At 37.9% G+C, this 25,623-nt stretch overlaps 1 protein-coding gene and 2 long non-coding RNA genes across 4 annotated transcripts in view; 1 reads left to right on the forward strand and 2 right to left on the reverse strand.

The window, feature by feature from the left end:
* Positions 1–25,623, forward strand: part of NECAB1 (N-terminal EF-hand calcium binding protein 1) — a 167,619-nt gene that overhangs the window by 33,476 nt on the left and 108,520 nt on the right. The gene's annotated exons all lie outside the window — the stretch shown is intronic.
* LOC105375635 (uncharacterized) overlaps positions 1–25,623 on the reverse strand; it is a 52,864-nt gene that overhangs the window by 18,777 nt on the left and 8,464 nt on the right. The window lies entirely within an intron of this gene.
* Positions 19,649–25,623, reverse strand: part of LOC105375634 (uncharacterized) — a 109,088-nt gene continuing 103,113 nt past the window's right edge. Inside the window, exon 3 of the long non-coding RNA XR_928396.3 lies at positions 19,649–20,793. This is a non-coding gene — a long non-coding RNA (uncharacterized LOC105375634). The remainder of the gene's footprint in view (positions 20,794–25,623) is intronic.

The following is a 25,623-nucleotide window of genomic DNA, read 5'->3' on the forward strand; positions in this document are numbered from 1 at the left end:
TGTGCTGAATTCCAAATCACTGTTACCTGAGGACATAATTATCTCTGGAGAGCCAATGTATATGGTGATCCATTCTTTTACTTATTTTGCCTATATAGATCTCTCTTTTGTATTAGCATAACATTTCTGAAGTTTCTATTTATATTCTCACTATGCTTAAAAATATAAAATAATGAGGACTTTAGGGTATAGAGCAATAGAAATATGCTGCTTGTTTTGGGCAATTGAACCAAATCAGATTATTTGTGACAGTCACAGTTACAAAACGCTTATATGAAAAACCACCATTTCAACCATGTCTTCAGACCTATCAGTGTGTCCATTGCTTGAAAAATCATTATATTTCCTTAGGCAAAGTGTTGAGATGGCTCCAGGCAGTGAGCCAAGATGCCAAGAAAATGCTCTTGGGCTACATCTATAAACAGACATTTTTTTGAAGCTAACTATTAAGAAAAATTAAAAGATTAAATTCACTTTACTCAAGCTGTTGAATATTTTTTAAACAACCAATTTAGAAGTTTCTTGACTTCATTGGGGTTTCAAATTCTTCATCAAACAGCTTAAGTATTTTGTTGACAGAAACAGTATTCATGGGTAACTATACTCAACAATAACTCTAGCATATCAAGTCCATAGTAGGTATTGGTGGTACAACATGGAACCAGCTTATGGTTTTATGGAGAAATAGACCAATCAGCTGATCGTATCAATATAATTCATAAATGCTGTAATTGAGCTATGTACAGGACACTTTTGGACCATAAGTCCCAAAAGGGAAGAAATTTTAGCCCAATTTTTTAGGCTCGGGGAATATTTACAGGATCTGAGTCATTATGAGAGATTACAAATTCCTTAGGTAAAGAAAGGGGTGGGGAGAAGAATATTCTAATCAGAGGGAGAAGCATGAGAAAAGTCCTGGAAGAAGAAGGTGAAGAGCAGCAACAAGTAGTTTCTTACTACTAAAGTATCAGCTGGAAGGCTGAGAGTGAAAGATGAATCTGGAGAGGAAAGAAAGGACCAGACAAGATGGAATTTGCATTCTGTGTTTGCAAAAGTGCTTCAACTTTATCCTGAAGGCCAGGGAAAACTATTAAGGAAATTGAGCCAGGCTGCAACGTCTTTATAGGTAATTGTGGATCTACTTAAGGACAGGCTTAAAGGGGTAATAGTTGACTCCTTAAATCGCTACTGGGGAAGAATGTTTATTCGTGAAAGAAAGAAAGCCATGTTGCACTTTACTGGGATATGATGCTTTAAAGAATAAAAGAGCAGAGGCTCCCCTTGCGGCTTAGGTGTTGGACGTTGAGATGCTAATGCTTTGTTATGTATGCTGATTATTTCTTCCTCGTTACAATTAGTATTGAAGTTTAAACAACATTTGGGTTTGGAATATTTATTGAAAGCCATAATAGTTCCAGAATTGGGTGTTATGAAGATTTTTAATATGTTACATTTAATTTATATTAATATTAATATTTATTCATACTAATGAAAAATAAAGTTTTCAATAGATCTTGTTAGCCTGTTTTGCTATTTTATTTATATAATTATTAATTTGGATTACTTGGCATAGCTTTAAGACTACTAAATGTTAAAGAAGTATATGTAATGATTTATACAGTAAGTCTAAAGGAATAATTATTACTACCAGTTTCTCTCATATGCATTAGTAACAGGTGTTTTCTGATCATAATGATGTTCAACTTTAATTTGGAGCTAAAGTGTATATTAGGTAGAGACTTCTGAATTATATTCATGAAATTCCTTTTTTTCTTAAGAAGGGATATCAGTGTCAGTCTTTGATCTTTTACTGAGATTAATTCAAATGTTGGCACAGAAATTTTGGAGCTATATTTGAAGCAACTGATAACTTTTATCTTTGCATGATCCAAGTTTTAATTATTTTAACAAATGCACTATATATGCCAATTATTTTCTCCTTCCACTCACCTTCTAAGAAGATAAGTTTTCCTCCAAATCCTGCCTCTGTTCATATCCCTGACCACTCTAATTTAATCAAGAGTACAGCCTGGCCTGAAGGAGTCAGTCATACATAACCTGGACCAAAACAGTCAGACTCACTGTCTCACACTGTTTGTGGTAGGCTGTGAGAGTCAGAGTCTATGAACATTTGCTGCTGAGGCCCCTGTGGCTACCCAGCTCCTGCCTTTCCTTATGTCTGGAGTTGTGACTTCACTTTGGAGTCCATTAAATTGGTATCTCCCTAATACACTGCATTTTCTTGAACTTGTTTAAGATTCTGTTCCTTGTGAAAGAATGTTCTAAGACAGTGTTACCCAATCACAGTCCTGCCATCTCTAAAAATTCAAGTCTTTTTGCTACAAATATTATATTTGCCATGCTTGAGGAGTGACTTATCCACTTTGAGAATATTTGGAAAGAAAGAAGGAAAATAATAAGAACATATCTGGCTACTTAATTTTTTTCCTTTTATCTCATGAAAATACTCTTAAAATATTATGCTTGATTATGAAAAGCAAATATTGTTCAGAAGCATAATTAGAGCTTGTGTCTATAGTGCAGTATAATTATTTTAAATGTCAAAATTAAGTACATTATTCCTCATAAAATTACATTAAAAAAGCATCATGTAAACTTATGGACTTTAAAAGGTCATGTTTTATAAGTTGCTTTTAAATGAACAAATGATAAATATAGAGTAGTGTAATTATTTAAAAAAAAGTCTTAAGAAAACAAAAATATATTGCCCTCTTCACACAAATTTAGATAGCAGTCATAATTCCCAAATCTAACTCTACTGGTTTTTCTCTTTTGTTTTAGTCACTTATTTCTTTAATCTTTCATTTTAAGAAATCAATATGTTCATTTGAGAAATTTCCTTAAGAGTAGTTCACTGCAGTTTTTTTTTTTTTCTTTTGTATGCCCTGGAATTACTTGGATCTTTTCAGTCAGGTTTTCTCTCAGGAATGCAAATAAATCCCAGAAAAACAAACCCCAAATACATTTAACCTCAAAATAACTATGCAAAGATTTCTGCAAAGATTTTTGTATATGAATATTACCAAGGTTGGAGATATTTCAGGTCTTAATCATAGAGAATGTTTTTAGTGCATTTCAAAACCAAACTACCTGTATCAACCACATGTCCTTATATGCTAAGGAAAGTGTCTAGCAGTTGTAATCACCTTTCAAGCCTGCCCAGGCACAAGCTTAAGCTCAGTGCTCAGTATAATCTCACTCTAATGAGAATTCCATGAATCATCCTACTTGTTTGTTGCTGTATTAGAATCCTTGTATAGTGACTGTTTGCCAGAATTCCTAATCTATATATCCTGAAGATTTCATTCAGAGCAGCAACTTTAGAAGTGAAAAGAACCCTGAGTAAAAGTAAGAGAAATTTGAAGGCATGGGAAACCCAGCTTTCCATCACCTTTTAAATTATTAAATTGATAGATATTTTTCATTATGTTCAGACATTTGGAAAGTTTTCCTGAGTTTTTCTTGCATATAGTAATTGATTGAGTGTAGAACAAAAGACCAGCTTCTTTCTGTTGATGGTACTTGGGATATTTTGCATGGCAAAGGAGAAGAAAGTCAAATATGTTTTTGTCATCAGGGCAAAGTATTGCTGAAAACTTTGATTTTTCTCAAGCTTTAAGAGAAGTGCATACAATTTAATATTCTGAAGTAACCTGAAGGATATCATGTCCACCTTATAAAACTTTCATAATTTCCCAGATTTTTGTCAAGCCTCATTTTAACTGTATTATTTCTGGGCCAAATATGCTTAATCTTCCATTTTCTTTTAAAAAATTGTTAATCTCTCAATCATTGTAGTGAGCCTTATTGCACCCTTTCCAGACTCATTAAAGATGTTTTAAACTCACGTTTTTCTCAACTTTTATAAAGTTACTCTTCAGAAAAGATACTTAGAGCCCTTAAAATTTGTTTGTAAAAGAAACTAACCTAGCAAAAACTAAATCTATAGCTTGGTAGCTTACAAATTGGAACCATCACACCAGTTAAAGAGCAAGAATAAATACAGGAAAGATCATTAAGAGGAAACTTCCATGGTTCCTCAAAAGTGTTCTTATTCATCAGAAAGTTAGTCTGTCTACATTTTGCAGTTAGCTATAGGAAACTATGATGAATTTAGCATAAATCCTTGTGATGTTAATTATAGTAGAGAAAGGGGAGAGATCCCCTGGAGACCAAAACCAATTTTCCCAGCACACTGCACTTTGGAGTTCCAGATTGTTAGGGTACATCAAATGGTAGACCAGATGGACGTTTCACTTCTGTGTCAGAGAGTGAACATACAGAAAAGCATCCCAGGGCCCTCAGATGGGAGTCTGTGGCTAGAGATAGATGACTGATATCTTCTGATCAAGTGTTCTTTATTCCAAGCTAAAACAATTTTTTGGGTGCTGAGCACTGGGATTTCAACCCAGTACTTGTTAAATCACTGAAGCACACCAGAGTGACAAAAATATCACCACCTACTAAAAGAGCATAGTCCATCTTGAGCTAGCTCTGAAAGTTTAAAAAGCTCTTTTTTAAACCAAACTGAAATCTGTCTCTCTTAACTTCTACTTGGTTCTGCTCTGTAGGGCCGTTCAGAATATGAATATTTTATGACAAGTCTTTCTAATATTTGAAGACAGTTTTCATGTGCCAATGAGATAAAGTCCCATAATAATTGGAAAGTAATGATTTCAAAGGTTTTGTTTCAGATGGCAGAATTTTGCTCCTTTGGAAACAGAAAAAGTGCTTCACCTTGTATTTGTGCAGGCAGATACATTCTAAAGCTTGATGAGTTAGGTGATGAAGCCCCTTTCTTTCTTGAGTTATCTTTTACACTGCTTAAGTGGACATACGCTGTGGGCAGTAGAAAAAGAAGGAAGGGTCAGTGCTCATGGAATAGGCAGTAAGTTGGTCCAAAGAGCATGGAGCACAATCTGCATGACATTGCAACTACAAAGCTTATTGCAATTCCAATAGTGGACAAGAGAGATCTCCTGCTTAACATAGCTTATACCATCTTCAACTAAGCTGAAGTCTTGGAAAGCAGTACCAAGACTTAAGTTCCTGGAGAATAGAGCAGGCCACAGTCCCAGGTACTCAGCTAAGCAAGTGTGGTATGACTGAGAGATACACAGGAAGGAACAAGAAAAGAGAGAGAGATGGTGTGGCTATATATCAAGAGAACAAAGTAAAGATCAAAGTCCAGAGTACATCAGACTAACATGCAATGAACAAACCGGGCTTGCCAGGCTTGGGTTTCAGCAATACAAATTTGGCCAAGGAGCCATGGCAGAACTGTGCTCCAGGTATTCAGACAAGCCCTGAACTGGCCATCAGTAAACTAGCAGAGAACACAGAGTCCAGTTAGAACTTCTTTCTATCCATGAACCGAGGCTTGGCTGTGGAAACTAGGCAGTGGGCTGATCTTTGTCCAGGCTTTAAGTAGCTTTCTTGGCATAAGCAGATACAGGCCAGCAGATGTATGCTTTTTTTGAGAGAGAGGCATGATTTTCAGAATACTTTGCATGCCAGATGAGGGATGGAGTCAGAGGAACCACAAAGCTGTGGAGAGAATAACATACTTTTGACAGATTTTTCTCAACTCCTCTTAGGCCCTACTTGAGAGAAGTCACAGCAGGGCAAATGATTTTGTAGTAGGCAAGAATTATTGGATGTGAGTGACAGAAACAAATTAAGCTGACTTAAGGAAATAATTGTCTGGCTCACATGTCTTATAGGACCAGAGATAGATTTCATGTGTGCTGGAGGTAGCTACTCAAATGGTGTTGCTGAAAAATCTGTCTCCCATCATCTCTCACCTCTTCTTTTGATGGTGTTAGCTGTTCTCTTGGGAGGGCCCTCTCGCTGAGAGGCCAAGATGGTTACTAGAAGCTCAAGGTTCATATTGCCACTGGCTTAGCAAATACTCAGAGAAACTGCTTTTATTTCCCAATAACTCTCAGCAATTCCTGGTTTTGAATTATGATAGCCTGGCTTAGATCTCATGCATATCCCTGGACAAATCAGCATTTTCAAGAAAACATAATGCAAAATAGAACCAGGATGCTGTTTCAGAATAAAGGTGAATAGATGCCAGGCAGGCAAAACTTGAGTCCCCCGCAGATCAAATAACTGCTTATTCAGCCTCAAGGACTTCTCTTTACCCTCTCATATTTTAGAGGAAGATAATCTCCTTCCCCAAGAGGGCAAGGGGCATGAAGTTTAAACTCCAGAGAGTTCTTACTAATTGTGGGATCAATCAGGAAAATCTGCAGCTATCTATAATGGGAAACACTGAAGTCAGGGAGAATTCTGTTGTCAGACTTCCTGGTCCCACTGAGCTGCCCAGGGTTCTATCCCCTGACACCCTCGCCCTTCCTGACCATCTGATTGTTTCCATTCCCAGGAGTCCTGCTTTCCCATTCTCTTCCTAGTACAGCCATGCCTCTGATGCCCTTCTTTTCTCCTAATGGTCTTGACAGCTCTTTGTATTTTCAGCAACTTCCAAAACTTAGATTTTGTAACATCTGGTTTTCTTCTCCTTAGCCTTTCTCTGTAATCACCCCCTTAGTATAGATGTTCTGGGAAATTCTCACATACTGTGCTACACTTATTTCTTGAGAATTTAAAAATTATGAAGAATTATGTACAAAGCTAAGAAACACTATTTGATTATATCCTATACAGGTGTGCTTTTTACCACATTTTTAGAGGCTGAAAATTGAAGTCTTACACTTTTACCAGGACTCACTCTAAACCATTACTGGGCCTACGATTATTGATTCCATTTGGATATTAGAACTAACCTGTAGCCATCGGATTTCCTTATCATTCACTGATTTTTAGGTCTGCTTTTCACTTCAACAATTACTGAAACCCATTTACTTGCTTTAACTGAAACCCATTTACTTGCTTTGAGAATCTTTGATAAGCTCACAAAGATATGGAGAGAGAAAAAACCCAAAGTGGTTTTAAAAACTCTTCTTTCCTAGGAAGGCATTTCACTGGCATCACTACCATCTCCTTCTAAATCAGGCCACTCCACAACCTGCAGTGTGGATTGGGGCACTGCATTCTTCCCTGGAGGAAGAGTGCAGAATCAACAAGCCAAATTCTGCCTCATAATTAAAAGATTAGCAAAGTTTGGAGAATTTATAAAGGAGAGAATGTTAAAGGGATTTTTTCAAATGACATGGAAATGGTTTATTCTTAGTTATAATTTTTTGGAAAAAGAAAAACTGGTTCTAATTTTCTCCGACAAAAATGGTAGTCAAGTCAAATTTTGTGTCAAGGCAGTTTCTATATAATTTCTAAAAATATTTAATTTCTAAAGGAAATGCTTAATTTCTAATTGAATAGGAAAATGCATTTATGAAGTGATTATGTACCAGGCAATTAACTTGTATCATCTTATTTAATCTTTAAAAAAACCAAACAAACAAAATAAGAATGTATTGTCATTCATAGCCTACAGTTAAGCAATCTGATACAAAAAGTTAAATAACTTGCCCAAAGTTACATCAATATTATGATTAAGGGTCTGGGGTTTTCTCAGGTCTGCCTGAAAACCAAACCCAAGCTCTTTCCATTGCCATATCATCTCAATAAAATTTCATGTTTTTTGCTTTATATTTCATGTATCAGAAATCAAAATATTCCAAGGCAATTTTTAAAAATCGCTTTCAGTAATTTATCCTTGATAAAAAGATGGTTAATTCTCTCTAACAGTAGAATATATTTGATGTATACTATAGAGGTAATTGCTTTAATTGCTGCCTTTTTCTCTTCTCTTTTTATATCTATTATGTAGGGTTTTTACAGTGTGGGAGTTGCTACAATGTAGAAATGTTATTCTTCTTTTCTGTGGACATTGTTTCCACTCTTTGCACATTTTCCCTCCTTCTATCCTACCTTTATACTTAGAAATCATCATCTACTTTTAGACTTAGTTCCTGCCATCCTCCATCCCATCACTTTGCATTTGCCATATTTTCTCTATTGCTCTTCAGAGTACTCACAGAGTTTTACTGTTTCCTTTAATCGTTTGTATTAAGGGCCTTTTCAAACTTTTTCATATCTTTTTTATATTTTCTTATCTAGAGAATTATTTTTCTGGTTTTCATCTATTCCTCCCAAAAAAAAGCTTAAATTCTTTTTTTTTAATTTTACTTTAAGTTCTGGGATACATGTGCAGAATGTGCAGGTTTGTTACGTAGGTATACATGTGCCACGGTGGTTTGCTACATCTAGCATACATGTGTTTAAATTCTTTTTTAAACTTAATTGAACTCTTTCTTTCCGCCAGCCATGAAAGAGTTGCCATTAGTGAAGTAAAATCAATTACTGCTCAAAATAAAAATTGTCTACTGAGGAAGCTAGATGAATGATTTATTCACATAAATGCAGTTTTTTTCTTAAGTCATCAATATCCACCAGATGGATGAAATCAATGCAGTAAAATTGTAACCCCAATCTCTCTAAAATACATGGTGCTCACTTCGTGGACAGTATTTTTCCTCCATTTCCAATGCCCCAACCAATTCTGTACATTTTTCTCAAGAATGGTCAGTTTAAGAAAACAGTTACAGTTGTTCTCCATGAATTCTTAAGATTTCAGAATTCTCAGCCAGGCGTGGTGGCTCACGCCTGTAATCCCAGTACTTTGGAAGGCTGAGGCAGGTGGATCACTTGAGATCAAGAGTTCGAGACCAGCCTGGCCAACATGGTGAAACCCCACCTCTATTAAAAATACAAAAATTAGCTAGGCATGGTGGCGCATGCCTGTAATCCCAGCTACTTGGGAGGCTAAGGTATGAGAATTGATTGAACCCAGCAGGTGGCGGTTGCAGTGAGCTGAGACTGTGCACCACTGTACTCCAGCCTAAGAGACAGAGTGAAACTGTGTCTCAAAAAAAAAAAAAAAAAAAAAAAAGATTTCAGAATTTTAGAAATAAATGTAGATTACAAATAACCAAAAAGTCACTGCTTACTTTTGAAGTGCAGGTTTTTTCAAGAGCAATTTTTTAAGGAAAATATTTCCCCCACTGCTATGGTCTGAATGTATGTGTTTCTTGGAAATTTATATGTTGAAACTTAATATCCACAGTGATAGTATTAAAAGAGAGGGCCTTTGGCAAATGACTAGGTCATAAGGATTCCACCCTCATGAATGGGATGAGTGCCCTTTTATAAAAGAGCCCTGAAGGAGCTTGTGTGTCCCTTCCACTTATGTAAGGATACATAGAAAGTGCCATCGATGAGTAACAAGCCCTCATTAAACACCAAATCTGTTGGTGTCTTAATCTTCGACTTAGCCTCCAGAACTGTGAGCAATAAATTTCTGTTGCTTATAAATTACCCAGTCTGAAGTATTTGTTAGAGAAGCCCAAAAGGACTAAGACACTCACAAACCAAATAATATAAACAGTACATAATTATTGTAAAAAGAGTTGAAAATATAGAAAATTAGAAGAAAGAGCATAAAATATCTGAAACCTCACAATCTTGAGATAATCACCAATAGCATTTGGTTACCATAGCTTTTATGTATGCATTCTATTTTAATCATGGAAAACTCTTGCTTTTAGATTTCTTTTCCTTTTCTACCCTCTATCCTTATACTATCCCCCATAACCAATCTTTATCACCTAAATTGGTCTTGTGTATTTTTTCCATGTTTATGTAATCATATACACATCTATATGTCTCATGAAAGCTTTCCCTGACTTTCTTTTTTTTTTTTTTAAAAAAGAGCCCGCATCGACTTTCTTTATTAGTTTAAAATTTCTATTCTGCATTCTCATTGTAACATGGACTGCTCTTTACAGCCCCTATATTATTTACAATTTTATATTTATTAGGGTGTTTATTTGACTGGGATTTACTGCTAGCCTAAATTCCACGAAGGCAGAGGCCATAACTATCTTGCTTTTCATTGATTCTCAGCATAGTGTTTAGCACATATTGCAAGCTCAATAAACATTTGAGATGATAAGAGATAAATTCCTGCTTCCTCAAATCTCATGCTATGCCTGACTAGCCTTGCTCTTCTTAGCATAGTAAAGTTTTCCAGGCATTAGAGGCCACTCAATGCCATAAAAAGCAGTATTGCTATGCAGAAAGAACTCAGACTTGCCAGGCTTGGGCTTATGTCCCTCCACTATCTGTCTATGAGGAGTTTGGGTGGTCATTTCCTTTCATTGGACCACAATTTCATTGGCTTTAAAAGGGAGCCAACATAAGAACCCATTTTGCGGAATTTAGGACTAATATAAAAATACTCGCCACAAAATAATAATAATAATTATTATTATTAAGATGTATTCACTAACCTTTCCTTTTCTTTTGGATCATTTGCTTTCTCCAAATTTCTGTAATTATAGTTTGCACCTTCAAGAGGTACCATTTAATTACATAATATCTTCTGTTATGTTTGCTAATTGTTTCATTAGCATGTTAATCTTGTCTCCAAATACAATTGTAAATTCCTGTGAAGCAAGGACCATTGTTCTCTACTACTTCCAGCAATTGCTGTAATACATTCAATAAGTGCTTGGTTACTTGACTGATACAGAAAAAGGATATTTTGATTTGATGTAAGAAAGGCGTGCAAAAGCACATTGCTGGTGACTTTTAGAGTCTAGACCCTGCCTGATTGATCATAGAAAGAGTAATGCCATTAACAGATCTTATCAAACACAGAAGGAGAACTGATTCCTTTTGTTTGGGAGGAGGATAAATGATAAATTTGACTTTAGACTCTCAGTTAAACTCAAGCACTTTTGAATGCTATTGCTATATTAAAATAGTTCTCTACTCCTGTGACTTAAAGGCCGTGAAATATAATTTTGGATGTAAATGTGGATTATTTTCATATTTTAACAGACACAAAATACGTTCAAATGAGGAGTTTCTTTTTCCTGATATAATTATTGGATCTTCGTTTATATGTTAAAAAAAGTTTTCATTACTTAAAAAGACGCTCCAACATTGCTTAAAAAGAAGCTCCTGCTACACCGAATATTATATTTTCTGATCTCTTAAAAGGTTTCTCACTGGGAAAAATAGACTAAATAGCAAAAGCTTTTAGCAGTTAAAATATAAGAAGAAGAAAACTGGGCATGAGAATCAGCTGAACGTTATTGTTCTTGTCTCATTCACTAATGGGTTTAATAGTTTAATTTTATTTTAAGGTTCTCCTGGGAACTTATTTTTAGTCAACTTTAGATTAAAAATGGTAGTTTAGAATAATTAGAAATCTACCTGTGGTGGGCCATAGGGTTTTATCATTTACATAACTAACTTTTCCTCAATCTTCCACCATCCTCATTGCTGTCAGATTAAAATAAATTTTGACTTCAGAGTGGCACAAAGAGTTTTTATTTTGTTTGAATTGTGAATAGTTTCCAAGTGAAAATTCAGTTTGTCAGACTTGACAACCATTATTCTAGTTGAGTTTGCAGCTTCCAAAAAATTAGTCATTTGTTCCCTAATTATTCATTTATTTATTCAACAAGCATTTATTAATCTGCAGTGATATCATGTGCCATGTATTATGCATAAATGAATGAATATTACTTTATTTTTATGGGATGCAGACATACTGATGGATAGAAAACTATTTTCCAAATATCTCATGGAGGCTGATGTTTTGCCAAAATGAAGGCAATGGCTCATATTTACTATGATTGAGGAGCATAAGAAGCACTCTTGTTCTTTAACATTTCTATCTCTATGCTTGTCTTTAACTCAGGATCTTTGCAATAGTTAATTGTTGATAAAATGCACTTTAACACATTTAAGTCATCATTTTTTACAAAAATTAAACTGTCAAAAATTATTAATGGGAAATTAACCTTTAAAAAATGGTTCCAAAAAGCCAGAGATGCCTGGGTAATGTGCTGATCGCAGGGAGGTCACCTGTGCTACTTTGGCCGAAGGCCAGCCACCTAAGGAAATAATATAGATGGGGCAGTAAAATCCCATTACAGTACATTTATCTGCCAGGGATAAGTTCCAAGACCCACAGTGGATGCTTAAAACTCCAGATAGAACAGAACCCTATGTATACTATGTTTTTTCCTATCTGATAACCAAGAGGGCTACTAAATGACTAATGGGCAGGTATTGTATACAGTGTGGTTACCTTGGACAAAGGGATGGTTTGCATCCTGGGTGCAACTGCAAAAGGCTTCTCCACACTATTTAGAACAGTGAGCAATTTAAAATTTATGAATTGTTTATTTCTAGGATTTTCCATTTAATATTTTTGGACCACAGTTGACTGCAAGTAACTGAAACTACGAAAAGTGAAACATTGGAGAAGGGAAAATTACTGTAATTGAAAAATGATTGATCAGGGTCCCTTCTGTGGATTCATCAAGAATCAAATAGGGACAATTACAATTTGACCTTTATTTTTAAAATACAAGTGGAAATAATAGAATTGTGTCTAGTGTCTCTGAGTCTCTTCCACTGGCTTCTCTCTCTCTCTGCCTCTTGTTGCTCTCTTGCTGTGATCCTTTTCCAAGCTTGAGCTTGACAAATCATTATGTCTGTACCAGACTTGTTTAAATTAGAATGGACTGTAAGAGGTTTCCAGTCATTGAGTTTTTGTTTTACTATTTAATCTAATTGTTTCTTTTCATTTCAACTTGTATGCTGAATTCCTAGCCCCAAATTTTTGCCCTTTATATTTTACATTTCAAAATCTCTTTATTGTGCGTAGAGCTAATTGTGTCTATGTCCTGGTTGGCTCATAAAAATTCATAGGGATTGTGTCTTTAAAATAGAGCATAGTCAGAGAAACATATTCCAATGAAAAAATAAGGGTGTGTTTTTTTAATTAATTTTGTTGAATGTACGAAAAATTATTATCCTTGTTGTATTTGATTGAAACTATTCACTAGAGTGAAGAAAGTACAGTAAGTCTTCACTTTACATCATTGATAGGTTCTTGGAAACTGAGACTTTAAGTGAAACAATATATAACAAAACCAATTTTACCATAGGCTAATTGATGTAAATAAGAGTTAAGTTCCCATAGCATATTTCTAGTCATAAAAGCATCATAAAACCTCTAAATAAAGACCCAAAACATTTCTAATACTAAATATTGAAATAAGTGTGAGCTATATATACATTTAAGAAACACTAATAAAAACAAATAAGACAATTATTTACCCACTTACTCCAGTTCAGGGTTGCAGGTGGCCAGAGCCTATTCTGGCAGTTCAGGCACCAAGTAGGCACCAGCCTTGGACAGTATGCTGTCCCATCACAGGGTGCATGCACACTCACACCCACAGTCACTCAGCCTGGAACCATTCAGACAGGCCAGTAAACATAAGGTGCACATCTTTGGAGGGGTAAGAGAAAATCTGAGTATCTGGAGAAAACTCACATAGACGTGGAGAGAACATACAAACTCCACACAAACAGTGGCCTCTGTGGGGAATCAATTTTTTCCCTTGTCTATGTTATAACAAAACGAAGTTGAATGAAACAACTCTATTCAAATACCTGCTATAATCTATATTTCCAAACTCATGACAGAAATCTCCCTTTCACAGTCAGCTGCTATAATCTATATTTCCAAACCCATGTCAGAAATTTCCCTTTCACAGTCAGACTACATAGAAAATTCTGTCCTTGATTTGTTACTTAAAGTTGCTTGCACAAGATTTCTTAACCTGGGTAAAATCAACCCCTGGAAACTTAATATAAAATTAAATATAAAATGTTATTGCATATTGCCTATTTTTATTTTGAGAGGAATAGGGAAGGGATGATTGATACATTTTATCAGGCTTTCAGTGTTCTGTGCCAAAACAGCAAAGAACCACTACTCATCTTCTCTCTTAACTTCTAAATCAAATAATTAATCAACTTTTAATAAATCATTTTATATTTATCTTTCTATAACAAAAACAGTTTAAATATCGGAAGAGGCTACCACAAAAGGCTAGTGAAGTTTCTTAGGAATTCCTGGGAAGAGGATCCAGGAGATTAGGGAGAGAGGACACCGTTAAATTTGAACTCTGAAGTCAACCCAAGTCTAACTCAATTTGTGAAGTCAGTTGTGTATTGCCTATACAAACTGAGCTTGAGCTTGCTATTCCCTTTCAATGAGGAGTTCCTGGTGTTCTCCATGTGCAAGTTATTGTACCAGCTACTAGGAATATAGTGGTGGTAAACAAGGGATTTATAGTTTAGCAGAGAAAGTAGACAAGCAATAACTTGATTAATTATGACAGGGAGATATAGTGCTTTGAGAGGAACAGGGTGTGCTAACCTTATCTTAATGGTTAGCCAGGACCTCTTAGAGAAGCCATACAGTTTTACTAAGAAGAGGTATGAATAAGGATGGAGATAGAGATGATGTTTTCAGCCAGAGAGAATAGCACATATGGAAGCCTGTAGACGAGAGAGAGTGTGGCATGTTAGAGAAGCTGAAGGGCATTCAGCATGCGCAGAGCACTGAATCAGGGTGGAGAGAGGCTAGAAAAGCCAAGAGGGGACCTAACTGTAAAAGGCTTGAGAATCAGTGGGGTAATCAAATTTCTATCCTGAGGTCAGTGCCAAGCCATTGAAGGGTCTTAAACCTGGGAGTGACTGGATTAGGTTTATGTTTTCAAAAGATAGATCTCCCCAAGGCAAAGAGAATTGGTGGGAGAGGACAAGTCTGGAGACAGCAAAACCAGGTAAGAGGTGCTTCAGCTGTGCTTTAAAAAATGTTAGCTGGATTTTGAAAGATCTGAATCTCTAGTCTTTCTGATTTTGCCTAAATCTTTCTGATCTGGAAAGCTTTTGAATAAGAATACCCTGATGTTGCAAAACAATAATAATAACAACAACAATAATAATGGTTAACATATATGGCTCAGTTTGCATAGGCAATACAGAATTGACTTCACGGATTGAGTTAGACGTGACTTGACTTCAGAATTCAAATTTAACAGTCAGGGAGACTCCCTAATCTCCATAATAACATTTATGGATTACTAACAATAATAACGGTTAACGTTTACCATGTGCCAGACCTAAGCACTTTCCATTCATGAACTTACTTAATCTTTACAACAGATCTATGATTGACCACATTTTGCACATAAGGAACCTGAGCCACAGTGAGATTGGGTCACTTTCTCAACATTGCCCAGAGAGTACGCACTAAGGCAAGCCACTCTGGCTCTTAAGTGTTATTCTATGCAGCTTCTTACTAAATTCAACTTTGTTCACTGCCTTTGGAATCTGTCAGAGTGGTAATCTTCATTCTGTTTCTGAAGGCCCTGGCCGAGCAAATTTTTTATTGCTTTACTATCCCTCAATATTAAGTGGAGCTAATAATATTTTCTGGCAAGAAAATTGTAAAAACGTATGAGCAAATTTTTAAAAGCAGTGTAGACTGCTAGCCAGGGGAGGTGATATGTCAATATATGAGGTTTGTTTGACTGCGGTCTTAGAGTGCAGAACCACATAACGCACAGTCATTGCTCATTGCCGGCTCTTGGGTTCACAACGGGAAAATTGCAGTACCAGCGAAGCCAGACCATTCATTTAGTTCTCTGCACATTGTCCTAACTCTTCTTTGGGGGATGTTGCTGCTATTTGTGGTGGGGGACACAGATATCTTCAATCAATAGAAATCTAATATTTCAGGAGGAAGAACAAAATGGTAGTGGTAAATCTATTCAAAAAAAAAAAAAAAAAGTGACCAAAGCCGGGCGCAGTGGCTCACGCCTGTAATCCCAGCACTTTGGGAGGCCGAGGCGGGCGGATCACGAGGTCAGGAGATCGAAAGCATCCTGGCTAACATGTGAAACCCTGCCTCTACTAAAAATACAAAAAAAAAATTAGCCGGGCATGGTGGCAGGCGCCTGTAGTCCCAGGTACTTGGGAGGCTGAGGCAGCAGAATGGTGTGAACCTGGGAGGCGGAGCTTGCAGTGAGCCGAGATCGCATCACTGCACTCCAGCCTAGGTGACAGAGCGAGACTCTGTCTCAAAAAAAATAAAAAAAAAAAAGGGACCAAGTAGTTGAGGTAGTTCATTGGAAAATAGTGCATAGAAGTGACCTATCTTGGGCAGAGAGCCCTTCAAGATTAATATCTCCCTTTCTGAAGAGGCTTAGAAATGTGCACTTCAGTTGACAGGAATTAATTTTTCCCTCACTATGTCTTCAAGATGCAATAGTACCTTGTAAAATGGGTTTTCTTTGAAAACAGAGATTAACATAGTATCGAGATGCATGAGGGTCAAAAGCAACTTCACATTTTTAATAATAGGAGAATATTGGAGGCCACTTAGGCTTGTGGGTATCACCTAAGAAAGGAAGCTAAGAACTGTCATACCTGCTGGGGACTCTGCCTGCCTCTCTCCTCCTTAGGGTTTACTTCAGCAACAGTGAAAATGACCTGGGGATTTATTTTCAGGGACAACAAGGAAAGGGGGAACTGAGCATTCTGGGTTTCAGTATTGAGAGAAAAGAATCCTCTTGATGAAAAATGGGGAGGCGACAGCTCTGAGAATTACAGAAAAGCAATCTGAATCCTTGCATGAAAATGGCATGAGGAGGCATCTCAGGCCTGAGAAATAAAATTTGGAGGCTTTAACAGTCAGGAGCCCATGCAGTTCTCTAAAAGGTGGACCCTGAATTATCCTTAGCAAACTAACACAGGAACAGAAAACCAAATACTGCATGTTCTCATTTATAAGTGGGAGCAACATGATGAGAACACATGGACACATGGTGGGGAACAGCATACACTGGGCCTGTGGGAGGGTGAGGGTGAGAGGAGAAAGAGCATGAGGAATAAAAGCTAATGGATGCTGGGCTTAATGCCTGGGTGATGGGATAATTGGTGCAGTAAACCACCATGGCACACATTTACATATATAACAAACCTGTATATCCTGCACATGTACCCTTAAACTTAAAATAAAAGGTGGAAAATAATAAAAAGGTGGAGCCTGGGGAGTATTACATCATAGACCATTGGAAGCCTCCTAAAAGGTCCATCCACCTTCAACCTCAAAGGTCAACTTTCATCTTTGGGCTTGAAGTTGTATACACTACAAATCTATATGCCTAACGAAGAGATGTGATGTTGCCTTTTTTTTGAAATTTTCCATTGTTTCTCATTCCTTAAAGATAGGTGGAGGGTAGGAGTGAGGGTTGGTTAAGCTGCATCTCACATGATAGAAGCTGTCTGCAGGGGAACATCATCAGCAGGCTTTCAAGGACCTGGCTGTGTGGGTGGGCTTATTGGTTGCTGTGAGCTGTTTGTTTCATGTGGGCTGCCTGCTAGAGCAGCTTGTCTGCAGAGATCCTTGCTCTTCAAATGAATGCTGGGCTGTCTGGCCTGCCATTGTGCACCATTAGAGTTTTGTGACCACACTCAGAGACGTTTCCAATGTAAGGCATTTTCTGTAACAACACAAACTGCCAAGAAAATGCTGTCATTTAGATGGCCAGAGATTTTTCCTTTGTTGTCTGTTTTAATGGATGTCAGAACATTATGCATGATTTTTATGGTGTGTGCCTTGAGTTTCACTAAAGTTGCTAAGGCCTTTATGGGTAGTGCTAATGGTACGTGATTATAAGTTCTAGAAAGGTTGCCTCAGAAAGTGGCAGGTAGGGATAGATGGAAACATGTAAGGTTTACCTCACTATTCTGTGTCCCTTTCACATTGTATTAGGCCATTTTCATACTGCTATGAAGAAATACCTGAGACTGGGTAATTTATAAAGAAAAATGAACTCACAGTTCCACATGGCTGGGGAGGCCTCCCAGTCATGGCAGAAGGCAAAGGAGGAGCAAAGGCACATCCTACATGGCAGCAGGCAAGAAAGTGTGTGCAGGGGAACTTCTTTATAAAACCATCAGATCTTGTGAAGAAATTATTCACTATCATGAAAACAGGAAGGGGAAAAACCCACCCCCGTGATTCGATTACCTCCCACTGGATCCCTCCCATAGCACATGGGGATTATGGGAGCTACAATTCAAGATGAGATTTGGGTGAGGACACAGCCAAACCATATCACACACCATTTCTTTGGTTGAATGAGTGTATAATTGCTGGTCTCTTTCCCCCCATCATATATAAGAGAGTTACGAGTAAACATCTCCCCTAGCAAAAGAAAGAGAAGGATCTTTTTATGCTTTCTCCTTCTGTTCTTTTTCTTTAAGTTCTGAAGCAACTATGATATGCAGGGTCATGAATAGAAGATCTTTAATATTGCTTAGCGTGTAGCAGAGAATGAATTTGTTGACTTTTCCTTGGCTGTATTGTCTATTGTTAGAGACAACTGACTATTATACGCTCATCCGCCAGAACAGTGAGACAAAGTAGGTGGCAAGATCCCAAAGATAATTCAACACTGAACTCTGAGATTTGCTTCATTTCGCTTAAACAGATATTTATTGAGCACTGGCTGTGGGCTAGAAACTGTGCAAATGCAAAATCTAGTATCATTTTTGGACAGCAGTACTTCCTTTTAAGCTGGATCTTCCTCTTGTATTTTTAGATCACTGACAATGTACATCAAGGAAAAGAAAAAATCCTTGCTTCTGGCAGAGAACTTCTAGTCTAAATTCTTCATCTTGCATTTGAGGAAACTGAGTTCAGCAGAGCTAAGGGACTTCCCAAAATTATGACTGATGAATGCTAGCTTGGAACCCATGTCTTCTGAATCCATCCCTCCATCTTTCCTCTATTCTATACTGCCTTTTTCCTTACAGGTATAACAGATCATGAAACTCAGGTGGGTAGAAAAGGAAAATGGAACTTTTTTTTTCCTGTAACTCAATTTCCATTTTAAGTCTTAATCCTACCAGATGTTAGAAATTTAATTTCAGTCAACTTGGGGTCACTTTCCTCCATGCCTTGGGGTTGTATACAAATCTGGGGTGTTACCTAGTGCAAAGTCATGAGAGAGGAGAGGCATCTCTTTCTCTCTGCTTAGTTCTCCATGATGCATCAGCAGGGGTGTCTTCATTCCCACTTGACCTTTGGTTAGTAGTTGAGGTAGGTCCCTGCACTTCCTCCTTTCTTCTTAACCTCCAGCCCTTTTCAAGTCTGCCAGCTCCCTCTGTGATGTTACCACTGCTCTCAGATCCTAAGGGTCCCTATAGTGTTTTCAAACCAGTCTCTAGTGCAAGTAATTCTTCAAAATTATCTCAGTCCTTCTGGCCAGACATATCATGCAGATATGTCTGCTGCTCCCCACCAGGCTGATGGAAGAGAGCATTCTTTCTATCTGCAGATGGGTCACAGATCCTCCCTATTGTCAGATCCTCCCTACTGTCCTTATGTCTAAACTTCTGTAGGGCTCTCCCACCCGCAACATCATTTCCACCACTGTTTTCATCTTACAGGCTTGACCTACAGGGGAAAACAGCATAGATAACACCTGCTCCGGATTCACCTGAATCTAAGCTCTCTTCACTTTCACTTTCTCCCTTGTTCTAGGGAATCTTTATCCAGTTGGGAGATGAAAAGGCTTGACTTAGTTATTACTGAGCTACGTTCTTCTAAATCTTTTCTCTTACACCTGGGTCTAGACTTTTTTAATTGAAAAGTTAAAAATTTGGCCCATTGTTTGAGTCAGAGTTCTCTAGAGAAACAGAAACAATAGGATGTGTATCTATAAGAAGAGAGATTTATTGTAAGAAATTGGTTTACACGATTATGAAGTCTGGCAAGTTTAAAATCTGCAGGGTGGGTCATCAGGGTGAAGACCAAGGAAGAACTGATGTTCCGGTTCACGTCCAAAAGCAACCTGCTGGAAAATTCCCTGTTGCTAATGGAAGGTCAGTCTTTTTTCCTAGTAATGCCTTCAACTGATTGGATAAGGCTTGCCCACATTGCAGAGGGCAATCTACTTTGTCCATATTCCTTTGATTTAAATATTTACCTCATCCAAAACACCTTCACTGAAACAACCAGAATAATGTTTGACCACATGTGTGGGCACAGTGACCAAGCCAAGCTGACACATAAAATTATCACATCCCTCTCCTGTCTGTTGCCTGCCTTGTCATTGCTTCTCTAAGATAACAGCAGCCTACTCAGTACAAGGAAATAATAGCAGGTGCTGTGGGGTAAAAGCAGATGGAGAGAATTTGGTTTATATTTTTTAAAATACCTAGCATGCATACTTATATTATGTATTTATTTATTTTCACTTGTGCTAATTAGAACTACCCAGTATGCTACTTCATGTTTTCATTTTTGCAGAGGTTTTAATCTTTGGTTTTCAAAAAAAATAAAGCCTCTTAAAAGTAGGTATTGGTTCATCTCCCATTGATTGCAGTATTTTGTATAAATAGACAGTAAGTTCCATTAATTGAAAATATTTCATTTTAAACCTCAAGGTACAACACAGTATTAAGTGAAAGCTATGCAACTTTCAAGTAATATTTGTCACCAGAAAAAAATCAAAGTGTAAATGCTTTCATTGAACTTGATTTTCAAAAAAACAATGTTTTGAGACTTGTATTTTTTGCCTTTATGCAAAATCAAAGGTCAGTAGTCAGGTAAAAATTATAGAAAAAATTTTCCAAAGTGAGGAATGGTTTTTGCTTTAAACAGCAGGGTGGTTTTTCTTCTTTGAATATCATCTGTGTTCTTAATTTTAAAAGTAGATTTTCTCTGAGTGATTTTTGAAAGCCAACAGAGTAATACTTACATCTTCCTTTAAGTTGCTGGGAGACCACAGAGTTTTCTAGCCTGAAGTGCCACCTGGTACATCTTAAATTATCTGAAGCAGAGCTCAAGCTGGGCTAAGGAACAAAAAGTGGCATATCCTTAATTACCACAAATGATACCTAATTACCTTCATGCCAGCTTTAATGTAATGCCGAACACAGCTGAGATGGTGTTTGATTTTAAAGTGAGTTACACAAGATTACCTTTCCGAACCAAACTGACTTTACCAATTTTGCCAACTTGCATTTTAATATTGCATTTCAATAGGTACCCTTTTGGTCACTGGTATTTAATACTTTCCTAGGCTTCTTATAACAAAATAGCTTTTGGTTTAACATTGAAATTGCAGAAGTAATTATTTCACTGTGAATGTGCTTAAAGCAGCTCTTGATACTTCAAGTAGAAACAGAAAATAACATTTATTGCCATCAAAATGGAAATGCAGTAATTATGTCATAATAGATTGAATCTATGAACTTTGCTTGATCTCTGTTTAGATAAAACTGCAATAGTTGTACAAGCCTCAAAAAGCTACCTTAGTAAGTGTTTTAGAGTTTTCTTATTGTAAGAGACTAGCTATGACTGGTCTGCAGTCTTTTGTAGCAAAAGATTTAAGATAGTGTATTAGTCCATTCTCATGCTGCTAATAAAGAAATACCCAAACTGGGTAATTTATAAAGAAAAAGAGGTTTAATGGATTCACAGTTCCACAAGGCTGGGGAAGCCTCACAATCATGGCAGAAGGCAAAAGAGGAGCAAGTCATGTCTTACATGGCATTACGCAAGAAAGCATGTGCAGGGGAACTCCCCTTTATAAAACCATCAGATCGCAAGACTATTCAGTATCATGAGAACAGCATGGGAAAAACCTGCCCCCAATGATTCAATTACCTCCCACCCTGGATCCCTCCCATGACATATGGGGATTATGGGAGCTACAATTCAAGATGAGATTTGGGTGGGGACACAGCCAAACCATATCATTGTGCCCTGGCCCCTCTCAAATCTAATGTTCCCACATTTTAAAACACAATGGTACCCTTCCAACAGTCCCCCAAAGTCTTAACTCATTCCAGTATTAATTCAAAAGCTCAAGTCCAAAGTCTCATCTGAGACAAGACAAGTCCCTTCCACCTATGAGCCTGTAAAATGAAAAGCAAGTTAGTTACTTCCTAGATAAAATGGGGGTACAGGCATTGGGTAAGTATACCCATTTCAAATGGGAGAAATTGGCCAAAACAAAGGGGCCACAGGCCCCATGCAAGTTCAAATCCAATATGGCAGTCATTAAATCTTAAAGTTCCAAACTGATCTCCTTTGACTCTGTGTCTCACATCCAGGTCACGCTGATCCAAGAGGGGGTTTCCCATGGTCTTGGGCAGCTCTGCCCCTGTGGCTTTGCAGGGTACAGCCCCCTCCCAGCTGCCTTCAGGGGCTGGCATTGTCTGTAGCTTTTCCAGGTGCACAGTGTAAGCTGTTGGTGGATTTACCATTCTGGGGTCTGGAGGATGGTGGCCCTCTTCTCACAGCTCCACTAGGCAGTGCCTCAGGTGGGGACTTTGTGTGGGGGCTACAACCCCACATTTCTCTTGTGCACTGCCCTAGCAGAAGTTCTCTATGAGGGCTCTGCTCCTGCAGCAAACTTCTGCCTAGACATCCAGGTGTTTTCTTACCTCTTCTGAAATCTAGGCAGAGGATCCCAAACCTCAGTTCTTGACTTCTCTGCACCCACAGGCCCAACACCACATGTAAGCCACCAAGGCTTGGGGCTTGCACCCTCAAAAGCCATGGCATGAACTGTATCTTGGCCCCTTTTAGCCACAGCTGGAGCAGCTGGGACACAGAACACCAAGTCCGTAGGCTGCACACAGCAGGGGCCTCTGGGTCCAGCCCACAGTACCATTTTTTTCGCCTTGGCCTCCAGGCCTGTGATGGGAGGGGCTGCCGCAAAATTCTCTGACATGCCCTGGAAACATTTTTCCCATTGTCTTGGTGATTAACATTTGGCTCCTTGTTACTTATGCAAATTTCTGTAGCAGGCTTGAATTTCTCCCCAGAAAATGGGTTTGTCTTTTCTATTGCATTGTCAGGCTGCAAATTTTCCAAACTTTTATGGTTTGCTTCCTCTTGAATGCTTTGCTCCTTAGAAATTTCTCCATCAGATACCCTAAATCATCTCTCTCAAGTTCAAAATTCCACATATCTCTAGGGCAGGGGCAAAATGCCAGCAGTCTATTTGCTAAAGCATAATAAGAGTCACCTTTGCTACAGTTCCCAGCAAGTTCCTCATCTCCCTCTAAGACCACCTCAGCCTGGACTTACTGTCCATATCACTATCAGCATTTTGAGAAAAGCCATTCAACAACTCTCTAGTTTGGGAAATTCCAAACTTTCCCACATTTTCCTGTCTTCCTCTGAGCCATCCAAACTCTTACAACTTCTGCCTGTTCCCCAGTTCCAAAGTCACTTCCACATTTTTGGGTATCTTTACAGCAGCACCCCACTACTGGGTACCAATTTATTGTGTTAGTTCATTTTCACACTACTAATAAAGAAATACCCAAGACTGGGTAATTTATGAAGAAAAAGAGGTTTAATGTACTCACAGTTCCACATGGTTAGGGAGGCCTCACAATCATGGCAGAAGGCAAAGGAGGAGCAAAGGCACTTCTTACATGGTAGCAGGCAAGACAGCTTGTGCAGGGAACTGCCCTTTATAAAACCATCAGATCAGTCCAAGTGCAATGGCTCATGTCTGTAATCCCAGCACTTTGGGAGGCTGAGGTGGGCGGATCACTTGAGGTAAGGAGTTTGAGACTAGCTTGGCCAACATGGTGAAACCCTGTCTCTACTAAAACAAATACAAAAATAAGCTGGGTGTGGTGGCAGGAAAATTGCTTGAACCCAGGAGGTGGAGGTTGCAGTGAGCCAAGATCACACCACTGCACTCCGGTCTGTGTGACAAGAGTGAGACTCCATCTCAATCAATCAATAAGATCATCAGATCTCATGAGACGTATTCACTACCACAAGAACAGCACACAAAAACCCACCCCCAATGATTCAATTACCTCCCACCCCATGTCCCTCCCATGACATATGGGGATTATGGAAGCTACAATTCAAGGTGAGATTTGGATGGGGACACAGCTAAACCATATCAGACAGGAAATTTAGTGCATCCAGTAAGGAGACTGCATCAATCTAATCAAGTACAGGCCTGGGTATAGTGGCTCATGCCTGTAATCCCAGTACTGTGGGAAGCCACAGAAGGGAGTCACTTGAAGCCATGAGTTCAAAACCAGACTGGGCAACATAGCAAGACCCTGTCTCTACAGAAAATTAAATAATTAGGTGAGTGCGGCAATGGGTGCCTGTAGTTCCAGCTGCTTGGGAGGCTGAGGTGGGAGGATCACTTGAGCCCAGGAGTTCAGGACAGCAATGAGCTATGATTGGGCCACTGAACTCTATCCTGGACAACAGAGCAAAACCCTATCTCAAAAAAGAAAAATGCTTTTTTTTTTTTTTTTTTCTGTTTTTGCCATGTCCTACTCATTTGTTCTATAGTTGAGTGCTTCCTATATGCCAAACTGTCCAGATAAGATTGACTTATAGGTTAATATAGCAGAATAATTTGAATTGTTATTTTTTAGATATAGTATTATTATAGCAGAAGACCTAAAAAACTAGTTTTTTTATGTTTAAAGTTTCCAGTAATTTTTTTTTTTTTTTTTTTTTTTTTGGAATGGAGTCTTGCTCTGTCTCCCAGGCAGGAGTGCAGTGGCGTGATCTCGGCTCACCGCAAGCTCTGCCTTCCAGGTTCACGCCATTCTCCTGCCTCAGCCTCCCGAGTACACTATTACATATTTTTAACAAGACTATTAACAAAACGGCCATAGTGGATCATTGTGTTTGGTTATAATTTCCATTTTTGTAATAAAATTATCTGCTTTTGCACTTGAACTCTTCAAAGCAGAAAGATAAGGGACTGTGGTCTAGCATTAATTTAATATGCCAGAATTGGTAAAAGGAAAGAATAATTCAATATACTCTGTCAAACAGAGTAGTCACCAATTAACTTCAAATCATTTAAATTACTTCTAGCTGTCAGCAAGGAAATTTCAAATCACTTAAACTTCTTCCAGTTGTCAGCAAGGAACAGAGAGAGAGATAAAAGTAGAGATGTGGAAAATAGCTAGAGGGACAAAAGGAGCATAAATAAGGTGGAGATAGGAAAAGACAATTACTTGTTTAATTTTAAGGCCCATTTTCATAAATGAAATGATTTAACACGACTGATGAAGTTGCTGTGGAAGAAGAAAAATTATCTTCTTTGATAGTAATGCCCCTTGATCATAATCTCAGTAACTTAAAGATGGTCCTGTGCATAAAGGAGCACATTTTCCCACTAGGATATTGAGTAAGGAATCAGTAAAATTAATGAACAACAGAAAGAAGATTTAGGCTTGAAAAGATCTGGTGTAATGTCAGAGAGGCCTGGGGAACCAGCAGTCTGGAACAAATAGCAAACCCTGGAGAGGGAGGGAAGATGAATCATGTAAAGTATTGTTTGTCATAAATACAGCGAGCTGATAAATGTGTAGCATGTGATACAAGAACACCATGCAAATCAGAATGTATGCGCTATTGGACAGCTGAGAGGAAAGAGTACTGGATTAGTCACTAGGAAAACTAGGGGTTTGGTGCTTTGTCTATATATCTTCTTACTGGGGTTCAAGCCTCTTTGTTTCCATTGAAATTATTACATTTCATATGATATTGTGATATAATTAAAATATATAGTTGATCTTTGTCCCTGGTTTCTGGCATAGAGCTTCTAAATGCCTTGGAATTTCCTGAGTGTTAGGGATGAGAGGAACATCTTTTGTTATTTATGGTAAGCC

This window comes from Homo sapiens, chromosome 8 (assembly GCF_000001405.40).
Source record: "Homo sapiens chromosome 8, GRCh38.p14 Primary Assembly".
NCBI lineage: Eukaryota > Metazoa > Chordata > Mammalia > Primates > Hominidae > Homo > Homo sapiens.